Source organism: Homo sapiens, chromosome 8 (assembly GCF_000001405.40).
Source record: "Homo sapiens chromosome 8, GRCh38.p14 Primary Assembly".
In the NCBI taxonomy this organism is placed as follows: Eukaryota; Metazoa; Chordata; class Mammalia; order Primates; family Hominidae; genus Homo; species Homo sapiens.
The window spans coordinates 8,406,640-8,431,606 of NC_000008.11; the positions used below are offsets into that span (position 1 = coordinate 8,406,640).

At 41.7% G+C, this 24,967-nt stretch overlaps 1 long non-coding RNA gene across 1 annotated transcript, besides 2 other annotated features; it reads right to left on the reverse strand.

The window, feature by feature from the left end:
* Nucleotides 5,310–6,017: an enhancer, noted in NCBI's record as "H3K4me1 hESC enhancer chr8:8269459-8270166 (GRCh37/hg19 assembly coordinates)". NCBI's record gives its function as "activates a minimal SCP1, AML or CMV promoter by ChIP-STARR-seq in primed H9 embryonic stem cells {active_cell/tissue: H9 hESC(primed)}" and the evidence as "EXISTENCE:reporter gene assay evidence [ECO:0000049][PMID:30033119]".
* Nucleotides 6,018–6,723: an enhancer, noted in NCBI's record as "H3K4me1 hESC enhancer chr8:8270167-8270872 (GRCh37/hg19 assembly coordinates)". NCBI's record gives its function as "activates a minimal SCP1, AML or CMV promoter by ChIP-STARR-seq in primed H9 embryonic stem cells {active_cell/tissue: H9 hESC(primed)}" and the evidence as "EXISTENCE:reporter gene assay evidence [ECO:0000049][PMID:30033119]".
* Nucleotides 7,566–17,960, reverse strand: LINC02949 (long intergenic non-protein coding RNA 2949). Its single transcript, NR_186597.1, has 2 exons — nucleotides 17,849–17,960; nucleotides 7,566–8,462 (listed from the first exon to the last, which is right to left on the reverse strand). It is a non-coding gene; the product is annotated as a long intergenic non-protein coding RNA 2949 (long non-coding RNA).
* Nucleotides 17,961–24,967: the final 7,007 nt, after the last annotated feature.

Here is a 24,967-nt window from a genome sequence, read left to right on the forward strand (position 1 = left end):
GCAGTTTCTATCATTACAGGCTCAGTGGTAAGCCAACAACAAGGTGATGGGTTCCTAAAATAAGTGAATACAATCTTAGCCTCCTTATAATGTCGGGTGTCGAGCTGAGGGATGAGGTAATGGATATAGCCAGGAGACTGGACGCTGTTGATAGGAAGCAGTAAGGAACTGGAAGCTGTTTCACCCAGAAAAGATGGCTGGAGATAGAGATGGACCTTGCATTTTCATCTACACATGCGGAAGTGAGACTTAGTTTACACAAAAGCTAGAACTAGTAAGGGTAGGTTACAGAAAGGCTCAATGTGTTTAAAAATTGAAGGAACTGTTCGTTACTATTGAAGGAACACAGCAAGTGAGCTCCCAACTCTACTAATAAATAAATATTTGAGTTCAGATAATTAATTGAGATATAATGGAAGAGATTCCTACATTGCATGTAACTAAAACTTAAATGCTCCCTAATGACATAGGCAAATTAATCTGACTCCAAGTTTCTTTAAACCTGTGATGATTTCCAATTCATTGATGTCTTTCATGAGATATACAGCTGTAAACAAATAGAATTCCAGCTTCAAATGAATCAAGATTTTATACAAAGGCAGGATTTGCAGGTCTGTGTATGGGAAAGGGAGAGTCTTGCCCCAAATCAGTCTTGATGTCTTCATTCTAGGTAGTCTTTTTGAAAAGATGGCAGTCATGCAGAAGACAATACAATACCAATTTTGTTCCTTCCTTCACGTCCAATGCACAACTCAATACACACACCAGGGTTTTAGGCATTCTGCAACCTTTAAAAGTTTGAAAAACACACGTTGCTTTACACATGTCCAGGCATGTTTATGTACAATGGCTGGGAGTAGAAAATAATTTGACTTTTAGGGAATGGTATTATTCTTGGCAGAAAAAGTATCATTTGTTGAGTTAATTTCACACATACTACCACAATCGAACTCTTAAATGATTCTACGAGATAAGCATTGTTATTCTAATTTTACAGTTGATAGAGCTGGAAGAACAAGCAACTCACTTGTGTTTACACAACCATTAAGTTGTTGAGCCAGGATTTGAATCTAGGCCAAACTGATGCTATATCCCTTTTGCACAGGATCTTATAGTCCCTAATCATAAATCCTTCATATTTTGAAAGATAAAAGGCCATGTTTAGAGATGTCCATGACTTCAGAAAAACAAAAAAAAACAAAAAAAAAACGGCTTTACTTTACAAGGATGGAGTAGTCTTTGCTGAATGGATAAGAACTCTAGTCTTGTCAATGCACAGGCTAAATATCAGCTCTGCCCTCTAAGTAGCTGAATGCCCTTCAACAAATACGTTCACTTCTCTAGGTCTCTGTGTTCTTACTGGGAAAATGGAAGTGCTAATAGCACCTTCCTTATAGGACTGTTTTTATTTTTTATTTTTTTATATTTTGAGACAGAGTCTCGCTCCACTGTCCAGGCTGGAGTGCAGTGATGCAATTTCGGCTCACTGCAACCACTGCCTCCCAGGTTCAAGTGATTCTCCTGCCTCAGCCTACCAAGTAGCGGGGACTACAGGTGTGTGCCACCATGCCCGGCTAATTTTTATATGATTAGTAGAGACGGAGTTTTGCCATGTTGGCCACGCTGGTCTCAAACTCCTGACCTCAGGTGATCCACCCACCTCAGCCTCCCAAAATGCTAGGATTACAGGAGTGAACCACTGCACCAGGCCAGGACTGTTTTTAATAGTAAATAAAATAGTACATGGAAAGCACCTAGCACCATATGAACATAGGAAGTAAGTTTTAGCTATTATGAAGAGTATATATTCTTTTTTATCTCCCTACACCGAAGGTTACTGGTGGGCTCAAAAGATACTCCTGAAGAGTCAAGTTATGGGGAAGCATCCCAGGAGAGGAGAGGCAGGACAAGCAAACTATTCCTGGGAAGCTAGACTTACTGATAACAGTGGAACTCTCCTTGGCTCCAACTGATTTCTTTGCCTGGGGTTATTCTCTATAGGTAGCTCTGATAATCTTTCCCTATCTCTTGCAGCATCTAGCACAGGGCTCAAATGCTCGTTGTCCGATTAACACAGGTGTGCACAATGAGTGGTCTCAGGTGAGGGAAGAGAAAAAGCACACAGCTTGCAAAAGCCAGAGATCTGCAGCTTATTCACAATGCAAGACTGAGCTGATAAGCAAGCTAGCAGTAATGATGCCGTGTATTTTTCAGAGGATCTTGAGGTAACATCTGACTTGCAATTCCAGTGCAAGTCAGCAGTATGTCAGGGCTGCACAAATGGCTTTCCCACATTCCCCTGTGGGGAGAATGCAGAGTATGCATTAATGACTGTATGTTGCAGAGAAGAAAACGGATTTAAGGCCCTAGCAAATTAGGGCATATGGCACTAGGAAACGAGATGTTTAAATGACACAGTATACTTTGGAGGTAGCTCAGTAGTTCAAGTCACTGGTGGATGCAATTTGAGATGCCTATTTGAATCTATTAAGACCTACATTCTCTTCTCTCTCTCTTTTTTTTTTCTGATAGAGTCTGCTCTGTCGCCCAGGCTGGAGTGCGGTGCCATGATCTCTGCTCACTGCAACCTCCGCCTGCCTGGCTCAAGCAATTCTCCTGCCTCATCCTCCCGAGTAGCTGCGATTACAGGCGTGCACCACCATGCCTGGCTAATTTTTGGATTTTTAGTAGAGACGGGGTTTCACTATGTTGGCCAGGCTGTTCTCGAACTCCTGACCTCAAATGATCTGCCTGCCTCGGCCTTCCAAAGTGCTGGGATTACAGGCGTGAGCCACAGTTCCTGGCCGTCTTTTTCTTTTAACTTTCTTTTCTCACCGTCAGGGCTTCTATTTCACTACTCCTCCCCTTCTGCTGACAATTAGGATTCAATCATGCTGTTTCTGCTACCTCTCGCTGGCTTTGAGTCCAAATGAAACACTGGCTGGCACTTTTAGTGGCACGTCACTGCCCTAAAACTCCTTTGCTGACTTATGCTGGCACCCTCCCCCCTTTTTGGTTAGCTCTTCAAGGCAAATAGAAGACTCCTTTAAAATATATATATATATTTTTTTATATATTTATATATTTTTTCTTTTTTCTTATGTACCACCAAAAGGCACCGCCCAGAAACAGAAAGAAGGAAACACAACTAACTCCACTTAATACACCCATGAAGAAAGTTCCAGACAGAACATGGCTTCTCTTCTGGGGGAATCACCTGTCCAACACCTTCATGCACCAAGAAGCTTTAAATTGTTGTGTATGTTTTCAATCTTCATATAGGGCAAGTGAGGCCAGGCATGGTGGCTCACGCCTGTAATCCCAGCACTTTTGGAGGCTGAGGCGGGTGGATCACTTAAGCTCAGGGGTTCGAGACCAGGCTGGCCAACATGGCAAAACCATGTCTCTACTAAAAATACAAAAGTTAGCCAGGTGTGCTGGAGCATGCCTGCAGTCCCAGCTACTAGGGAGGCTGAGGCAGGAGAATCGCTTGAACCCGGGAGGCAGAGGTTCCAGTGAGCGGAGATCACAGCATCGTACTCCAGCCTGGGTGACAGAGTGAGACTCCGTCTCCAAAAAAAAAAAAAACAAGATAGGGTAAGTATTTGATGAAGAAACTGAAGCACAAGCAAATCTCAGCAGAAGTGTCTAGAATTGCACAGAGAACAGGGTTGTGCTCTGTCACTTCCCTTCCTCCTACTTCTCCAACCAGTTGCTCAGTGCCCTTCCTTGTTGAATTGAGCTCCAGGAGAGCATGAGGGGTTGGTAATTCATAATTGCCATCTTTTCCCTGCTGAAACCATTTGCTAGAAATCATTGTCTCTCTTTGCGGACATTTGCATCATCCTACATCATGTTTTCAGAGCTCACCTTTATTGAGGCATAATTCATAATCAGTAAATATACCCTTTTAGATGTTACTATTTTATAAATTTTGACAAACTTAAGCAGTCATGTAACCACCACCACAATCAACATACAGAATATTCTCATAACCCCTACAAAATCTCTCATACACCTTATAGGCTACCCCATCCTGCCATCACAGTTCCCTAGCAATTGCTGGTCTGATTTCTGTTCCTATAGTTTTACTTTTTCCAAAAAGTTATATAAGTAGAGTTGTATAGTAGGTAGTGTTTTAAGTCTGGCTTCTTTCACCTAGCATAATGCTTTTGAAATTTATCCAGTTGTTACAAGTAGTCGTGATTTGTTTCTTTTTATTGTCTTAATTTTAATTTTTTTGAGAAAGAGTTTTGCTCTTGTCACCCAGGCTGGAGTGCAATGGTACGATCTCGGCTCACTGCAACCTCCGCCTCCCAGGTTCAAGTGATTCTCCTGCCTCAGCCTCCTCATTAGTTGGGATTACAGGCGCCCGCCACCATGTCCTGCTAATTTTTGCATTTTTAGTAGAGACAGCGTTCACCGAGTTGGCCAGGATGGTCTTGAACTCCTGACCTCGGGTGATCCACCTGCCTCGGCCTCCCAAAGTACTGGGATTACAGGCGTGAGCCACCGCGCCTAGCTCCTTTTCATTGTTACATGGTATTTTCTTTATGCGGATGAACCAAATTTGTTTATCCATTTGCCAATTGGTGGACAGATGAGTTGTTTATGGGGTTTGGCGATTTAAAACAAAAATTTATTTTGAAAGTTTTTTTTTTGTTAAATTAAATCAACCTTGTTTTATCAAGCAACATATCAAAACTTACTCATTTAACAGTTAGCAATTGCACTTTTAGTTTGATTTGAAATTAAAGAATTTTCTTCTGCCCTTTCAGCTAATGCATTCATTCTAAAATATAATCATTATGAGGGCAGCCTTGTCCTAGGTGTTCCAAAAGGTATCCCTCTTTCTGCACTTGTCATTCCAGGCCTGTAACTTTCCATGTGGAGACGAGAACCCTGGTTCTTGTCCACATCTTAACTGGCAAAGCTACTCTTAGCTGAAGGGCTCAGAAGAGAACAGGATGATTGCCTGAGATCTAGTAGTCCCTTTTGCAATAAAGCAATGATGTAAGTAATCATATGTAAAAGGTTTTTAAACTTTACCTATAGGAAATTGGGAGCCAAACTTTAATACATCAGACTTGGCTTCACTTTTAAAATTACCTACCTGAGAAGGGAGAAGAGAAATCTCTATAAAGACATCAAAGTTCTAAGATCCAGAAGTGCTGATTTATTATATAGTTAACATGCATCTAAGAAAGCTTGTCTTTTAGATACACTTGCCTCAGGCATAATAGTGTTGCAACATGCTACCATATCACTGCTGCAAACCTATTGCTGTTGAAACTTATCTTTCCTTCTCTAACCTCTTTCTCTGCCCAGCAAAAGGGGAGGTGGAGGGAAAAAAAGAAGGAAAGAAAATGGGAGCGGGGAGAGTGGAGAAGAAGGAAGCAGAAAGCCTGGGTAATGATACAGCACCTTTTATCTCAGAATCTCAAAAGCTGTTTTCTTGATCAGACTTATTGAACGTTACTGGGTGGATAGGACATGGAAAACTAAGTAGGAACTGGAATGAGTTATGGTGGCGAACCACAGAGTGATGGTTAATTTTATGCGTCAGTTTGGCTGGACTGTGGGGCACCTGGATATCTGGTCAAACGTCATCCTGGATGTTTCTTCTGTGAAGTGTTTTTCTGGATAAGATCAACATTTTTTTTTTCTTTTTGAGACAGAGTCTCCTTCTGTCGCCCAGGCTGAAGTAAAGTGGTGTGATCTCTGCTCACTGCAACCTCCGCCTCCCAGGTTCAAGCAATTCTCCTGCCTCAGCCTCCCAAGTAGCTGGGATTATAGGTGCTCGCCAGCACACCTGGCTGATTTTTTTTTTTTTTTTTTTTTTGAGATGGCGACTTGCTCTGTCACCCAGGCTGGAGTGCAGTGGCAAGATCTCAGCTCACTGCAAGCTTCGCCTCCTGGGTTCACGCCATTCTCCTGCCTCAGCCTCCCAAGTAGCTGGGACTACAGGCGCCCGCCACCATGCTCAGCTAATTTTTTGTATTTTTAGTAGAGGTGGGGTTTCATCACGTTGGCCAGGCTGGTCTCAAACTCCTGACCTCAAGGGATCCACCCACCTTGGGCTCGCAAAGTGCTGGGATTACAGGCGTAAGCCACCGCGCCTGGCCTAGATCAACATTTAAATTGTTGGACTTTGAATATAGCAGATTACCCTCTGTAATGTGGGTAGGGCTCATCCAGTCAGTTAAAGGCCAGAATGGAATAAGAGACTGACCTCTCCCAAGTCAAGATGGGAGTTCTGCCTTTGAACTTCAGCAGCAATTCTTCCCTGCGTCTCCAGCCTGCTAGCCTCCTCTGAAGATTTTGAGTTTACTAAGCCTCCATGTTTGTGTGAGCCAATTCATCTTTCTCTTTCCCTCTGTATACACACACACCCTTCCTAAGAAATCGCAGAACTTCTATATTTTAGAAAGTATTAAAGACAATTTATTCCAACCCTTACCCATAAGTTTCTTCTCTAACATCTGCCTAAGCAAGCATTGAACTGCAGCTGAATATTTTCTGCCCAGTAAACCACTAGCTAAAGAGGCAGCGACTTTTATTTTTGGATAGCTTTAATTGCTTCAAGTTCTTTTGTTTTGGTTATTTGTTTGTTTGTTTTATATGGCAAGCCCAATCTATTTCCCAATGTCTTTTACCCTTTGGCCCAAAATGGTGTCTGGCAGTCGCATAGGCTGCTTGTACACAGGTGTACATTCCCCTTGTCCAGTTAATCTTAATTAACTAATTATGTGTATTTTTTGAGATGGAGTTTCGCTCCGTCACCCAGGCTGGAATGTGGTGGCGTGATCTCAGTTTACTGCAACTTCTGCCTCCTGCATTCAAGCTATTCTCCTGCCTCAGCCTCCTGAGTATCTGAGATTCCAGGCATGCACCACCATAACCAGCTGATTTTTGTATTTTTGGTAGAGAAGGGGTTTTGCCATGTTGCCCAGGCTGGTCTTGAACTCCTGACCTCAAGTGATCCACCCACCTCAGCCTCCCAAAGTGCTGGGATTACAGGCATGGGCCACAGCGCCAGGCCAGTTGATCTAAATTTGAATAATCTATGCAGCAGAATAATTTTGGAATATTAACGAGTTTCGTTTGCATATTTAGGATGTTCTAAATCACCTAAGACAGCCATGCCTAATGCTCCATGGAAGGGAAGATGGTGGAACATAGAGGACAGAGTCGATTCTGGGTGCCTGGGGGGAGGAGGGACAGAGCAGAAAGGGCAATGCATCAGAGAGAATTGCCCAGATGGCAATGGAGCACAGCACACATGGACTGTGCACCTGGTGACCAGGGCCAGGCCAGATGATGCGTCTCTCAGGGATGTGGCTTGGAGATGTAATAGCCAGGGACTAGATGAACCCCAGCTCCCACAATGCTATAGACACAATGACAGAGCAAGCAAGAAAGAAGAAAACTGGAATTGGCTGGGTTTAAATCTCTTCCACTGAATAGGGGCATGAGAGAAAATTTTAGTCGGGTTTATAGAAAAATCTAGCCAGTTACATGTCTTACATTTCTAGTGACATTTCTTCACTACTGAGAGAATAGAATGAGTTCCACAGTGGCTTTTATTCATCACTGCAAAGAAGCTAGAGAAAATGACTCTTTGCTCTGAGAATAGTCCTGTCCCTGGAAGGGTCTGGATATAGAATGGGAAACCATGGCCTTGGGAAACACGCTGGGAATCACAGGCAGGTACTTTTATTTTAAATTGGTTCCTCGTCTCCATTCTATCCGGTTACGAGTATTCCTTCAGAAGACGTTTACTAAGCGCTTGCTGTATTGGGGTTGCTCTTCTCGAGGAGTATCTTTGTGGTGTTCTCTGTATTTCCTGAATTTGAATGCTGGCCTGTCTTGCTACGTTGGGGAAGTTCTCCTGGATAATATCCTGAAGAGTGTTTTCCAACTTGGTTCCATTCTCCCCGTCACTTTCAGGTACACCAATCAAACGTAGGTTTGGTCTTTTCACAGAGTCCCATATTTCTTGGAGGCTTTGTTCATTCCTTTTCATTCTTTTTTCTCTAATCTTGTATTCATGCTTTATTCCATTACGTTGATCTTCAATCTTTGATATCCTTTCTTCTGCTTGATCGATTTGGCTATTGATACATGGGTATGCCTCACCAGCTCTCTCTCGTGCTGTGTTTTTCAGCTCCATCAGGTCATTTATGTTCTTCTCTAAACTGGTTATTCTAGTTAGCAATTTCTCTAACCTTTTGTCAAGGTTCTTAGCTTCCTTGCATTGGGTTAGAACATGCTCCTTTAGCTCGAAGTAGTTTGTTATTACCCACTTTCTGAAGCCTACTTCTGTCAACTCATTAAATTCATTCTCTGCCCAGTTTTTCTCCCTTGCTGGCGAGGAGTTGTGATTCTTTGGAGAAGAGGCAAACCAGAATGCAAATTGTTCTGGTTTGATTGGAAAATCAAAGACAAAAGAGCCTTGTTCCCTGGAAGAGAACACGAAATTGTGAGCAAGTGCAATTAAATGACACCATTACATTAATTTTAAAAATGTAAAAAGGTCTCATGTCTTTTTGCTATGCAGGACTGCTTAAAGGCATTTATGATAATTTTTTTTTTTTTTTTTTTTTTGAGTTGGAGTCTCACTCTATTGCCCAGGCTGGAATACAGTGGCACGATCTTGGCTCACTGCAACCTCTACCTCCCGGGTTCAAGCAATTCTCCTGCCTCAGCCTCCCAAGTAGCTGGGATTACAGGTGCCTGCCACCACAGCCGGCTAATTTTTGTATTTTTAGTAGACATGGGGTTTCAGCATGTTGGCCAGGCTGGTCTCACACTCCTGACCTCAAATGATCCACCCGCCTTGGCCTCCCAAAGTACTGGGATTATAAGCGTGAGCCACCTTGCCCGGCCTGGTTACCTTAATTTTTAACCTTAAAAGTAATCATTAGGTGAGCCCCTGAAGGAGCTAGTCCGTGTATAGAACTTATAGGCAGCCAACATTTATAATGGTTGGGAATCACTCTGTAGAATTTAAAATTGCTGAGTTCACAGGCAGGTGAGGCAGTGCTTGGCTTTCTTGGTGATGAATGTGGCATTTTTGAGGACATTGTAAATGCATGTCACAGATAACATTTATTTATTTTATTTTATTTTATTTTTTTTTTTTGAGACGGAATCTTGCTCTGTCGCCCAGGCTGGAGTACAGTGGTGCGATCTAGGCTCCGTGCAAGCTCTTCCTCCTGGGTTCAAGCAATTCTCATGCCTCAGCCTCTCAAGCAGCTGGAATTACAGGTACGTACCACGACACCCAGCTAATTTTTGTATTTTTAGTAGAGACACGGTTTCACCATGTTGCCCAGGTTGGTCTCGAACTCCTGGCTTCAAGTGATTCGCTCGCCTCGGCCTCCCAAAATGCTGGGATTACAGACATGAGCCACTGTACCCGGCTATTTAATTATTTTTATAGGGTTTGTTCTGTTACTCAGGCTACAGTGCAGTGCTGCAATCATAGCTCACCACAGCCTCAAACTCCTGGGCTCAAGCAGTCCTCCCACCTGAGCCTCCTGAGTAGCTGGGGCCACAGTCGCATGCAACCAAGCCTGGCTAATTTTTTTACTTTTTGTAGATATGGGGGTCTTGCTATCCTGCCTAGGCTGATCTGGAACTCCTGGCCTCTAGCAATTCTCCCTCCTTAGCCTCCCACAATGCTGGGATTATGAGTGTCAGCGAACGTGCCTGCCCACAGATGACATTATTAAGCAGTTACCATGCTCTGTGCTTGACACCTATTGTATTTAATTCCCACAACAACCCAATGACATAACTACCAGTGTTAACCTATATTATTGATAAGGAAATCAAGGCATAGAAAGTTAAATGACATCACCCAGTGTCACAAAGCTAATTAGGGGCAGAGCAAGCATTCAAATCCTGATCCTACCTAGATCAAAATCCTTTACCCTGTATATGTTATTGCAGCCTAAAATGCAGACAGGATACTAAAAAACCCCAAAGAGCTAGAAACCCTTTCTTATACTCCCACAATTTTATTGAAACACAGCCATACAAATTTGTTTGTGTATTACCTGTGGCTGCTTTCACACGACAATGGCACAGTTAAGTCATGGTGACAGAGACAGTGCGGTGTGCAAAGCTGAAAATATTTACTGTCTGGCCCTTTCTAGAGTAAGTTTCCTGACTTCTGACCTATGATAGGGAAAATTGTGACAGTAATAACTCACAAGTAATTTGACTAGGTAATGTTCTTTTTAATCAGGAGCCACATTCTTACATAGCTATCTTTACGTTGGTTTCCCTAATATTAGATTTAGAAGATTTTATTTTTTATTCTTTTTATTTTTTTAATAGAGGCAGTGTCTCACTATGTTGCACAGGCTGGTCTAGAACTCCTGGGCTCAAGCAATCCTCCCACCTCAGACTCCCAAAGAGCTGGGATTACAGGCATGATCCACCACGCTTGGCCCCGATTAGAGATACCAGGCAGTCTTGCTAGAACTCTGTGACCCAGTTTATCATATTTGAACAAAAATTAGTCATCCTTATAGCTTCTTGAGTAGGATCCTTCTGAATCTATTAACAGTGCCAGTATCATGAGTAACAGACTTCTCGTGGATCTCTTTTTTGATAAGGTTGGGAAGTAGTAGTGTGGCCTAATCACCTCTGAGAGAAGGACAGAAATAATTACCTTAAAACTTGGAATGTTATCTGGGTTTTGGAGTGACCTGGTAAGTATTTCTGCTGGGATTATCTCATTTGAATTAACGCCAGTCATGGCATACCCAGAAAATTCCTCTCGAAAGCAAAGGGAAACATGCCAAGAATGGCTGGCACAATTGTTTACACTTTCAGTGTCATGTATATGCTGTCTATATACACATGTATCCACACATATGTACACATGCACACATATTTCCGGCACTCCAGCCTTCTCCCTGTTGAGATTTATTTTGTCATAACTCCTCTTTTGCTTCCAAGAGGAAGAGTTGTTCCTGTCCTCACTCTGTTCCTCTTCTCTTCCAGTCTGGGAGTGACTACATTTGCCTTCATCTTTTTCCTCTTGTGCTGAAATCCACACTGGTGATTTCAGAGCAGGCTGCATTCTGTCTTGCAAATCATTCTCCTCCCGACCAATTCCCCATCACCCTTCATTATCACATTCTCGCTTCTCTTTAAAGTTTTTGTCTGGACAAATGTTCAAGTAGTGACTGCGATCGCCATGCACTGCTGGAGTAATAACATCATAAAGAGAATTCAAGGGGCGCCCACCCACCCTGCAGGTGGTAACTGCTACAGCGTGTGGTGGGACCATGGGGGCAACTAAGTTATCCTGGCACATCTGTCACCCAGGCTGGAGTACGGTGGCACAATCTCAACTCACTGCAGCCTCAACCTCCAGGGTTCAAGCTCAAGCAGGTTTCCTGCCTCAGCCTCCCAAATAGCTGGGATTACAGGCATGCGTCATCACGCCCAGGTTTTTTTTTTTTTTTTTTTTTTTGTGACCGAGTCTTGCTCTGTCGACCAGGCTGGAGTGCAATGGCACAATCTCAGCACACTGCAATCTCCGCCTCCCAGGTTCAAGCAATTCTTCTGCCTCAGTCTCCCAAGTAGCTGGGATTACAGGCGCCTGGCACCACGCCCAGCTAATTTTTGTATTTTTAATAGAGACGGAGTTTCACCATGTTGGTCAGGATGGTCTCGAACTCCTGACTTCAAGTGATCCACCCGCCTCAGCCTCCCAAAGTTCTGGGATTACAGGCCTGAACCACCGCGCCTGGCAATATTTTTGTATTTTTTAGTAGAGACAGGGTTTCGCCATGTTGGCCAGGCTGGTCACAAGAAATATTTCCTGGCACAGGTGGTGTCTGATTAGAATCATAAAGGATGAGTAATGGTTACTCCCAACAAACTGAAGGGGAGAAAAGAGAAAAGGAGGTAAGTTAAGGAAGAAGAATAGCAAATGCTCTGGAGACCTGGGCAGCCACTTGGCCATGCGTTCTGGATAGCCTTTCCCGGGAGGTAATTCCTGCCTCAGCCTACTACCCACCACACTTCTGCAGAACAGTGTTCTGGGAGATGAATGAAGCCCAGCCCTGTAACTGACGAAGTGTCTTCTATTGAATCACGGACCTCGGTGAAGCCCCAAATCCTGTCTGTTTCTTCTTCTGGTAACAGCACCTTACTCAGTATGAAACAGCATCAGGTTTTTCCTCCACATGCCGGGGAGGGTGCGCTCACCCTGGGTGGTGCCAGTTACAGCTCCTCCGCAGAGCTCTCCTTATCTACATTTGATTTGAGGCATGATCTGCCAGTGTGCTGTTGAATCAAAGAACTGCCTTGAGGACTTTCCTTATTTAGTGAAACTATTGTTGACAAACCAAAACTGCACCCAGACTTTCACCCACAGTTTATTCAAGCCAGGTAATATACTAAGTGCTTTGTGTAAGCAGTAGTCTCTTTCTTTTCAGAAATGGTTGGCTCTCACAAAAGGAGAGTTCAGATGTCGGCCTGGCACTTGCATAAATATCTTCCACTAAGATTCAGCATTAGCAGACTCTCTGCAGGATACGATTTAAACACTCAATAAAGCATGGTGGGGTATTTCTAATTTACACATAAATAACATATTTTTTTCTTCCAATGTTCACAAATTAAAACTATCTCTGTCCTGAATTAAGTAATAAATAAGAATTTTAATAAAACATTTTCTACATGAAATCCTTAGAAAGTCTACTGCAGAGTTTGATGGCTGGAAGACTGAGCTGAGAGACAGTTTAACAGCTCATATGTCAGCGTTAGTATTTGTTGGTAGTGCTTATCTATTCTACATAATAAGGTTTTGTGTATTGATGCAGGCACTGCCTTACACAGTAATATAACACGAGACCATGATATTCAGCACATTTTGAAGTAAATGTGACACTAAGACCCTCTGAAATGCGTCCACTTTGCCCCTTGCAACATTACAATGGGGACATTCTTTTTCTGAGACAGTCATTGAGACCAGCACTAACAGATTATGGCTTGATAGCTATTTATCACTTTGGATTGTTGTGAAAACCAGGCGTCCCTAATCACCAACAACTTTAAAAAGCCAAAATATTATCAGAGAAGACAGTTTTATAGAAATATTCAAAATTATTTCATTAGCTTTCTAAACCTTTAAAAGAATCGGGCTTTCTATTCAAATATTTAGCTAAATAGTACATGACGCCATCAAACCTGATCAGTTTTCTAAACCACTTTGCTTTATGTATTTAATGTGGAAAGGACCTGGAGAACAGAAAGAATTTCATTACCCTCACAAGGATTTGTCAAAACATCTTAGTTTTTACTCGTAGAAGATGTTGCAAAGAGAAGTTGGAACATAGTAAGAAAGAAGGTTGATTCCATTACATATGATGCATTTGGAAATTGATTGAAGTGATCACATTTCAGATGCACCTCAGGGCAGAAGAGGCAACCTCTTGAAAGTGACAGCCACATTTTCTGTGAGGGGAGGGGACTGGACAGAAAGGACTCCTTGTCTGAGTAACAGCTTTCTGTCCTGTGTTTCATCATGCCTATCTTGGCACTTCTCTAGCCTAAACCTCATCATAATATGAGGTGTAATTATCTGCCCATTCATCTGCTTCTTGTGCTAGACTGTGAGCTCCTTGATACCAACCATATGTTATTTATATTGATTTTCCTAAATCCCAACCAAAGCAGATGCTCAATAAGCATTTTAATAGGAAGGAAGAGAGGCAGGATCGGAGAAGGGAGGGAGGGAGGAAGGAAGGAGAGAAAAAAGTTCACTTATAATGTCTATAATGTTATTAAACAAAATAGAACATGTATTTAGTCTGATGAGACTTTTTTTCAAAACTAAGTATGATTTACTTAGGATTAAAACACAAGTTATAACACAATAGCTACGATGGGCCTTATATAAAGAAAAGTAAGTATAATACATTTTAAAAGGCTTTTAAGTATCTATATTAAATATAAACTAAATGGATAAGATTTTTCATCCCCAAGAATTACCTGGGATATTAGATTTGCAAAGAAAAGTGAAAAGAGGGAAATGAGGTTGAGTGAATTATTTGAATAAATATATGCAGTCATTATAAACTTCCAAAGGACTTTAAAAGTGAGCAAGAAAATACTGCTAGAATAAAGTAGCTTTACTTATCACTTTCATGAATTATAAAAACAAAATATTTTAGTAAGTCTTACTGTTAAGTGATTGATTTAATTCTTTATACATGAAGTTCTTTCTAAACCTGGATAATGTAAACATCTTGGTTAATCATTACAGAACTCCAAGTCTTTCGCTTTATTCCACGCCTTAAACAACAAAAGGATCATAAATCCTTGAAGTTTCCTTGGAGTTAGCTCAGGCAAAGTCCAAAGTTTAAGAAGCTGTTCTATGAACCATAAACGTTGCCACCACTGAAGAGTCAAGGCATATCCTAACATTCTGGGGCAGTTCTCACCCAGCTTGCCTTCATCCTATTATCTTTAAAGATTCATATATATTTAGCATTTACCCATGCCCTATCTAGAGATTCAAACACTTTTTTTTTTTTTTTTTTTTTTTTTTTTTTTTTTAAGAATAGAGATGGGGTTTTGCCACATTGCCCAGGCTGGTCTCAAATTCCTGGGCTCAAGTGATCCTCCTGCCTCGGCCTCCCATAGTGTTGAGATTACAGGTGTGAGGCACTGTGCCCAGCTTTAAACACTTTTTATTTTATAATAGTTTTAGATTTATAGAAAAATCACAAGGATAGGGTAGAAAGTTGCCATATACCCTGTACTCAGGTCACCCTATTATTAGCATCTTACATTAGTATAATATGTTTGTTATAATTAATGTATCAATATTGATATAATATTAACTAAAGTTTATAGTTTATTCAGATTTCCTTTATTTTTACCTAATATTCTTCTTCTGGTTCAGGATACCACATTATACATATATATAGTGTATACATATATGTATAGTAATACTAAATATAACATATATAATACACATATACCATATACAATTTTTATATCATATATACATATATGAATATTATATACATATAGTATATTGTTATATTTTATAATATATTGTATAGATGAGTGTGTATATATGTGTGTGTATACATATGTATATGGAGAGAGAGAGAGAGAGAGAGACAGGAGTCTCACTATGTTGGCCAGGCTGGTCTTGAACTCCTGGGCTCAAGTGACCCTCCTGCCTCAGCCTCCCAAAGTACTGGGATTACAGGCATGAGCCACCGCACCTGGCCACGATATCACATTATATTTAACAGCCAAGTTTTCAAATACTCCTCCTTATGGCTGTAACAGATACTCAGACTTTCCTTATTTTGGATAACTTTGAAGAATGGTGAGGTATTTTGTACGATGTCTCTCAGTTGGGATTTGACTGCTATTTTTTTCATGGTTAGACTGGGGTTGTGGGTTTTTAGGAGGAAGAGGTCAGACGAAGTACATCTCTCAGCACATCATATCAAGAGTATGCCAGCCTGAGAAATATAGTGAAACCTTATCTCTACAAACAATTTTTAGATAAATTAGCTGGGAGTGGTGGCACACCTGTAGTCCCAGCTACTGGGGAGGCTGGGGTGGGAGGATCGCTTGAGCCCGGGAGGTTGAGAATGCAGTGAGCTATGATTCTGCCGCTGAACTCCAGCCTGGACAATAGAGTGAGACCCTGTCTCTTACCAAAAACAAACAAACAAATAAATACATAAATAAATGTACATACCATCAATATGACTTATCACTGTTGATGTTGAACTTGATCTCCTGGCTGAGGTAGCATGTGTCAGCTTTTTCCAGGTAAAGTTACCTTTTCCTTCCCCTTTCATACTGTATAGTTTTGAAGGAAGTCACTAAGTCCAACCGACACTTAAGAAGTTAGGTGTTATACTCCAACTTGAGAGAGGAGTACATAAATCAGCTGGAATTTCTCTGCACAGGAAATTTGCCCCTTTTCCTCATTTATTTATTCAATCATTTCTATTGGCATAGACTTATGAATACTTATTTTATACTTTAGGTTATAATCCAATTCTGCTTTACTTTATTTCATTGCTCCAATTTTTCGAGTTTTGGCCATTAAGAGCTCCTTCAGTTGGCTCCTTCATGTCTTTGACATACTCCTATTATTGTGGGACTCTGTGGTTCTTTTTTTTCAAGCACTTTCTTACTTTCTGGCACTATAAGAAACTCCAGGCTGATCTTGAGTATTTCTAGCCTCAGTCCTAGAATCAGTCAATTTCTCCAAGTAGTCCTGTGTGTTTTTTTACTGGTGAATGGCATTAGAAACCAATATCCACTTGCTAGGTATGTGTGATAATTGTTTCTTCTAGTCCTTCTTAGCTGATGGAGCAAGGAAACATATCTAAAAATATTTCCATCCGTACATATACATTTGTATCTATATTAAATTAATCTTCATACAATGTTTCCAAATGAAATCCATTAAAACAGCTGTCCCCAACTTTTTTGGCACCAGGGATCGGTTTCATGGAAGACAGTTTTTCCACGAACGGGGTGGGAGGATGCGGGGATGCTTTCAGGATGATTCAAGCACATTACATCTATTGAGCACTTTATTTCTATTATTATTACATTATGAAGTAATCATACAACTCACTGTAATGTAGAATCAGTGGGAACCCTGAGCTTGTTTTCTTGCAACTAGATGGTCCCATCTAGGGGTGACGGGAAACAGTGACAGATCATCAGGCTTTTTTTTTTTTTTTTTTTTAAGAGAGAGTCTCACTCTGTTGCCCAGGCTGGAGTGCACTGGTGCGTCCTTGGCTCACTGCAATCTCCGCCTCCCAGGTTCAAGTGATTCTTCTGCCTTAGCCTCCCGAGTAGCTGAGATTACAGGCACCCGCCACCATGCCTGGCTAATTTTTGTATTTTTATAAAAGACAGGTTTTCACCATGTTGGCCAGGCTGGTCTCAAACTCCTGACCTCAGGTGATCCACTCGCCCCGGCCTCCCATAGTGCTGGGATTACAGGTGTGAGCCGCCGCACGTGGCCCAGGCATTAGAGTCTCAAAAGGAGTGCGCATCCTAGACCCCTTGCATGTGCAGTTCACAACAGGCTTCATGCTCCTATGAGAATCTAATGCTACGGCTGATCTGACAGGAGGTGGAGCTCAGGCAGTAATGCGAGAGATGGGGTGTGGCTGTACAGATCAAGCCTTGCCTGCTCACCTGCTGCTGGCCTTCTGATGTGCAGCCTGGTTCCTAACAGGCCAAGAGACTTTGTGATCCAGGACTTGGGAACCCCTGCATTAACACATGGATTCTTCTAGCCTTCTCTCTTTGCTAAACTCTCATTCAGCAATGATAAATCTAACTCCCACCATCTGTCATTCATTTACTTAAATTGTTCATTTCCAGAATACATGTACAGCAGTATCTGAATTATTAACTCATACCCCACAGGTAACTACTTTATCAACCAGAGTGCAATGCTTAGGTGCAGCTTCTTTTGCCTTTAGTCTCACAGACTCCACTCATTTCCAAAGTTACTAAGGCCGGCACCTTTCCCCCAACATCCTTCACTGAGGTTGTTTCATACAGTACAGTTAGATCATAATATGGTTAAATCACAATACAGTGAGATTGCAATACAGTGAAATTTGTTTTGTTACTTTCTGCATTCCATCTTGGAGTTCCTCCACCTCCTGATTTTTAAAAATCTGGATACACTAAGGCTCACTCTTTGTGCAGGTTTGTTTTAATAGGAAAAAAAAATTTTAAATTACTTAACATCCAGTAAAACTGATTAGCTAGGGGGTTCATTAATTCAACAAATATTTCCCAAGGGCCTTACCTTGTGTTAGGTTCTGTACCAGTGTCACTCTGGGGGATCTTATCTTATAGTTTCTTGTCCCCGGTACCTCTTTGCATAATCAGGGCACGGGTATGACAGTTTAAAAAGCACCAAATAAGGAAACTAGATTGTTATATTTATGGCCACATCTCCAGAATTCTAGAATTCCTTAGATCTGTGACTATGCCTCCCTCAGTGGTTCCAGAATCTGCGAAAATAATCTATTTGTAGAACTGCATTTATGTAAGGTTAGAATTGTTTTTCTCCTACTGCTCTTTTGCTCCTAGTAAAAAAAGCAATTTAAACTGCAGGGGAGAATAATAACTACTAAAATCAACACTAGCTTTTGTCTAATACAAAAGCCATCAGCACAACTTAAATTATAACCCCCTTTGTCAATCTGGGATTGCTGAAAACAACAATTAAGCCAATCTACACTTGCAAGTGATCTACGATATTGTTTTTTGTTTTAATAGGCTTTATTTGTTACGCCAACCACATTAGCTAAACAGCTAATACAATTGCTCATGTAGAATTATGCCAATAAAGGAAGGAAAGACAGTTGTTGTTTGTTGCTCTTAGTCACGGGGAGGTGAGGGAGGAGGAATGGGCTTGCTGGCATTAGCAAATCAACCAATAGATTATCTTCCTTAAGAATATTAATGCTTTGTAAATCTTTCCACGTTCCCCTTGCCCAACTCCCAGGATGGCCGCCCACCCTATAGTGCTGTAAGATAATCTTTTTTTTTTTTTTCTTGAGATGGAGTTTCACTCTTGTTGTCCAAGCTGGAGTGCAATGGCGCAGTCTCGGCTCGCTGCAACCTCCAACTCCTGGGTTCAAGTGATTTTCCTGCCTCAGCCTTCTGAGTAGCTGGCATTACAGGCATGCACCACCATGCCCAGCTAATTTTGTATGTTTACTAGAGATGGGGTTTCACCATGTTGTCCAGGCTGGTCTTGAACTCCTGAGCTCAGGTGACCCACCTGCCTCAGCCTCCCAAAGAGCTGGGATTACAGGCGTGAGCCACTGCGCCCGGCTGTAAAGTAGTCTTAAATGGGGGAATATCCATTACTACAACTGCCACAGCAGGTGTATATGATTGAGACAAGGTAGGAGCTGTACTCTGGAATAGTATGTTTGAGTTGAAAAGTTGAACAAAGATTTACTTAAAATCTTAACATTAATGTAATATAACAGGGCGCTCAATTGACACTGGAATATATCTTTTGATGTGTAAAACACTGCCACACTAGGAGATGTAAACAGTATTTTGGGGGTTGCGCGTCCCCCTGTGGTAGGAGGGACTGTTTGGCAGGACCTTTTGGAAGATAAATCATAAGGCAAACAACTGCCCCTTGTTCTAGGGAAACTTGGAACACAGGAAAGGAAACCAAGGGCAGATGCTTCACCCTGAGTCTGCAGAGATAGAAAAAGGTTTTCCCCAAATCTTTGCAGATTATTATTTTTGCTCGTGAGAGGTATGTGTACTTTGTTGTACAAACAGTAGTTTTTGAAAAATTGGGAGCAATCAGCAGCTTAGTTGGGAAGGACAAGCTTCCCTGAACATCTGTTCCCTCCAGGCTGGAGGAAGGAATGTGAGAGCAAATGGCTGGACCAAGCTCACGCAGCTTGCACTGCTGCCATTGCCCATATGAGTGGTTATCAAAGATGAAATATACCGGACATTGGGACGTTCTCATGACTGCTATGATTGTCATGCTTGAGCTCTGAGGGTCAGATTGTACCTGGTTGGGAGAAGGGCATCAAAAGAGAAGGAACAATGATCAATTAATCCAAGGAAGAGAGGAGTTGGTCCAGGGGTTTTGGAGCAGGAAGAGCAGGCTCTTTTTCCTTTTTTGGAGACTGAACAGGGCTTGGGCTCTGAAGTGTTGGGGATCACTGGGGGCCCTTGCACTGGGGGACATCTATGGAAACTAGGCCAGGGTGCAGAGGTTGGGTCTGAGCCTGAAACTCTAAGGGCATCCAATTCTAAAAGCAGTTGGGAATTAAGTTAGTTTATGACCAAGGCTTCTGTAAAATCCTACTACGAGCCTGAGCAAAGATGTACTATAGATTACATACCGATGTACTAAGGGAAGTTGAAGAGACTGTATCCCTCCTGGAGGCTGGGAAGGGTTGCTTGTGATGACAGAGATGCATGGCCTCAAAGAGCAGCACTGTTATAAGGGGCAGCAAAGGCTGCAGGCCAAGAAGTGAAAACTAAGCAAACCCCCAAACTTGTCCCTGATAACATATATTGTAGCACCTTGAGAAACCTGAGAACAGCTGTAAGGCAATGGATGGGGATGCACTGTGGGCCACATTCTAGTAACTACACCAGGGAAGGCTCATGCATTAATGTCTTTGGAGTGCAAAGACAGTATGATTTCAGTTGTAGGCCACAGTTCGGAAATACCAGGGACACAGAGGTTACATTTAGGTTTTCCCTTCTCCATAACGCATTTTTGTAAATTTTCTACCATAAAAGGCACGATATTGCACATCAGAAACAAATTCAGTACCTACTTGGAAAAAAATAGCATTTAAAAATAAAATACTAGGCTGAGCGTGGTGGCTTATGCCTGTAATCCCAGCACATTGAGAGGCTAAGGCGGGTGGATCACTCGAGGTTAGGAATTCGAGACCAGGCTTGCCAACATGGTGAAATCCCATCTCTACTAAAAATACAAAAATGAGCCAGGCTTGGTGGTGAGCACCTATAGTCCCAGCTACTCTGGAGGCTGAGGCATGAAAATCACTTGAAGCCGGGAGGTGGAAGTTGCAGTGAGCCAAAATCACACCACTGCATTTCAGCCTGGGCAACAGAATGAATCTCCATCTCAGACAAACAAACAAACAAACAAAAACAAAACAAAACAAAACTATTTCAAACATTTTAAGCTAATGGCAGCCCATAAGTGCCACATCTCCCTTTTGACCTCTTCCCATAGGCCCTGGAGTCTGTGCACTCCCAGGCACACATACCCTGTTGTCTCTCAAGCATCCGCAGTGCAGGTGGGGGACTTACGTTCTTACAATCCTAAAACCTTTGATTATAACCCACACTAAAATAAGAAAGGTAATCAAATGTGTGGGTGGAAGCTTGCCAGACATTTGTAGAGTTCCATACCGTTCATAAAGTGCTTAAAAATGCTTAATTTCATTTGAATAACACTTGCTGTTGTAGCTATGTAGATTTTTCTTTCTCTTTTTCTTTTTTAAAAAGCAAAGGTATATACAACAGCTCATTTAAAAAGACTAGACAGACCCTAGCTCCAACTAATTCTCTAGATTGAGCACGTGAGAGAACTATGTTCCATTTCCTTTTTTGGTATCGCAGGCCTTGATCTCCAAACAAACACATGAAGTAAGTGTCTAAACTCTGGGTGGAAGTAAGCTAATCATTGACATTCAAAACACTCTGCTACTTGACACACTTAAACAATAAATGCCCAGCTGGCTAAAATTCTATTGCTACAAATCATTATCTCTTTAAGGGGCCCACATAAATCTATGCAGGTGTTTGGAAGACTATAACCTGTCTGCGACTTTTTTTTGCATCTCTAGGAGTGTTCAGCTCACAGACTGGCACAAAGGAATGATGACTGTGCCTTTGTGGGAGGAGGAGAGATTAGGTCATTGCCACCGAGGGAACACTTGCTCTGACCCAGGTGGCTGTCAAGAAGCGACAGATTGAATCCCTCTAACTCATGTGGCAAATAGATTATTCTCATTTCACAGATGAAGAAACTGAGGCTCAGAGAGGTTAACTTGTTTAATTTCATAAAGCATGAGAGTGGGAAGATGAGATTTGAACCCGAGTTCCTCAGAATTGTATAATATCTTGCTGTTTACTCTTTCTTTTCTCTCTCTCTCTCTTTTTTTTTTTTTTTTTTGTTGTTGTTGTTGTTGAGGCAGGGTCTCGCTCCATCACTCAAGCTGGAATGCAGCAGCACGATCGTGGCTCACTGCAACCTGCACCTCCCGGGCTCAAGAGATCCTCCCACCTCACATCCTGAGTAGCTGGGACTACAGGCACACACCATCATGCCTGGCTAATATTTGTATTTTTTGTAGAGATGGAGTTTCCCCATGTTGGCCAGGCTGTTCTCAAACTTCTGGACTCAAGCAATTCACCCACCTGTGCCTTCCAAAGTGCTGCAATTACAGGCATGAGCCATCATGCTTGGCTTACTCTTTTTTTTTTTTTTAAACAATCAGTTTAACTTCTGAAATGTTCATATTAATCCTGATGCTGCTAAAAATTGTATTTCTAGAGAAACTCACATTGGCACTTCAAAATGGATATTTTTGTAACCTTTACCAGAATACAACAAAGCTTCAGAACACCACTGAATGTCACAGTGAATTCGTATGGCTGGAGAGCTGCCTGGGAATTAAGGCTCAGATCCCAGGTTCGCTATGGAATAAAAATACTATTTCTGATAAGATAGATGGTCTCTCACTTTGGTACATTTTCTTCCACTCTTTTAAAACAAAGATGACTCTTTTTCTGTGTTTTTGCTTCTGAGATAATATGAAACTTCAGGAAGTCCTGTTTGGTTCAGTGGAGCCAACTGGGACAAAGTTGCTATAAAAATCTGAAGAATCAGCCCCTGTAAGGAACAATTTGACAACCACAACCATAGCCAGCAGAAACATGATTAACACCATCATCATCAATACTACCACAGCCATCATCACCATTACCACTATCATCAATATCACCAACAACATCATTTTTATCGTCACTGTCATCATTACCATCATCATCATCAGACTTTCCTAGGATAGGACAGATGAGGTAGTTTCCTCTTCCTCATGTGAATTTATGATTTTCCTATCATAAATTATCCCCCACAAGTTATCTCCCACAATTACCCATGCCTGTTCAAACTTCAAATATTTTAACCATGACTTTGACAGGATACAGACTTTGTGTAAGTGAAAACAAATATTCAAGATGCATGCATGGCAGAGGTCATTTACAAACTTCTCTCTTTGATCAGTCAAATTCTTTTCATTGTTTACATAATAGTGGTCAGCCTTCAAAAGTGTCTTTGAAGTAAGTTTCAATATATGCTTTGCCTGACTCACTCACCAACCCAAAACACACACACACACACACACACACACACACGCGCGCGCGATTGCATACACACACACTTACTTGTATAACAACTTGCTTATATACTGATGTTCTCTAAGTACAAATGTCCTCCCATGGCCTGTCTCTCAAGTCCCCAGATTTATACACTGTGTCACTACTAAACTTGGGATCAGATGTTGCTCTCTAAGTACAGGTGATTCTTTTTTATTTTTTTGAGACAGAGTCTCACTCTTGTCACCCAGGCTGGAGTGCAGCGGCAAGATCTGGGCTCACTTCAACCTCCGCCTCCCGGGTTCAAGCGATTCTCCTGCCTCAGCCTCCAGAGTAGCTGGGACTACAGGCACCTGTCACCACGCCCATCTAATTTTTGTATTGTTATTAGAGACGGGGTTTCACCATGTTGGCCAGGTTGGTCTCGAACTCCTGACCTCAGGTGATCTGCCCACTTCAGCCTCCCAAAGGGCTGGGATTACAGACACAAGCCACCATGCCTGGCCAAGTACATGTGATTCTAATCTACAATGACATGTAACACAAGAACAATATTTATTTATTTATTTATTTGAGACAGAGTCTTGCTCTGTCGCCCAGGCTGGAGTGCAGTGGCGCAATCTCAGTTCACTGCAAGCTCCACCTCCCGGGTTCATGCCATTCTCCTGCCTCAGCCTCCTGAGTAGCTCACACTACAGGCACCTGTCACCACGCCTGGCTAATTTTTTGTATTTTTAGTAGAGATGGGATTTCACCGTGTTAGCTAGGATGGTCTCAATCTCCTGACCTGCTGATCCACCCGCCTCAGCCTCCCAAAGTGCTGGGATTACAGGCGTGAGCCACTGCGCCGGGCCCGAACAAGCTTTATGTTTAAAAACTGTAACTCATAGATATGAGTATTAAGATTAATTTTTTAAGTTAATTTTTAATTAATTTTTAAAATTTAATTTAATTTTTTAAAATTAATCTATTGGATTTTAAGTATACAAAAGCTATTGTCCATTTCAGAATAGCAATATAAAAAGTCCTTAAGAATCTGTCTGAAGGCTGGGCACCAGACCATCCTGGCTAACACGGTGAAGCCACGTCTCTACTAAAATTACACACAAAAAAAATTAGCCGGGCGTGGTGGCGGGCACCTGTAGTCCCAGCTACTCCGGAGGCTGAGGCAGGAGAATCGCTTGAATCAGGGAGGGGGAAGTTGCAGTGAGCCGAGATTACACCATTGCACTCCAGTCTGGGAGACAGAGTGAGATTCCGTCTCAAAAAAAAAAAAAAAAAAAAAAAAAAATTCTAAGCCTTCTTATATGATATAAGTGATATGAGGTTTGGGATAGGGAGTAGCTGAGGGTCTTGTTTTTTCCTTTAATATTTCAAAAAGATATATGAGCTTTAAAAAGGTTAAAGTATATTGTAATAAGACTGCTTTTCTGGGGTGGCTCCTAACTCAATTTTAAATGCAATTCAAAAATAATTCTCTAGAAATATTTTGAGAAATAGCAGTTGCATTGAGCTATAGGCATAACCTTCTAGGGTGACTATTTTGAAAATTAATGCTCACTTTAATCTTAATATTCTACCCTATTCACTTAAAAATTAGGTTAATACTTGATAATCATATCTTTCCCATCCAGCTATTTCCCACAAAGTTGGAGGGCTTTGCAAATTTTAGACAGAAATTTTCCACAATCCTTATAAAAAAGAGCAAGTTATATATGACGGTTAATACTGATTGTCAACTTGATTGGATTGAAGGATACAAAGTATCGATCCTGGGTGTGTCTGTGAGGGTGTCACCAAAGGAGACGAACATTTAAATCAGTGGGTTGGCAAAGGCAGACCCACCCTTAATCTTGGTGGGCACAATCTAATCAGTTGCCAACTTGGCTAGAATATAAGCAGGCAGAAAAATGTGAAAAGAGAGACGGGCCTTGCCTCCCAGCCTACATCTTTCTCCCATACTGGATGCTTCCTGCCCTGGAACACTGGACTCCAGGTTCTTCAGTTTTGGAACTTG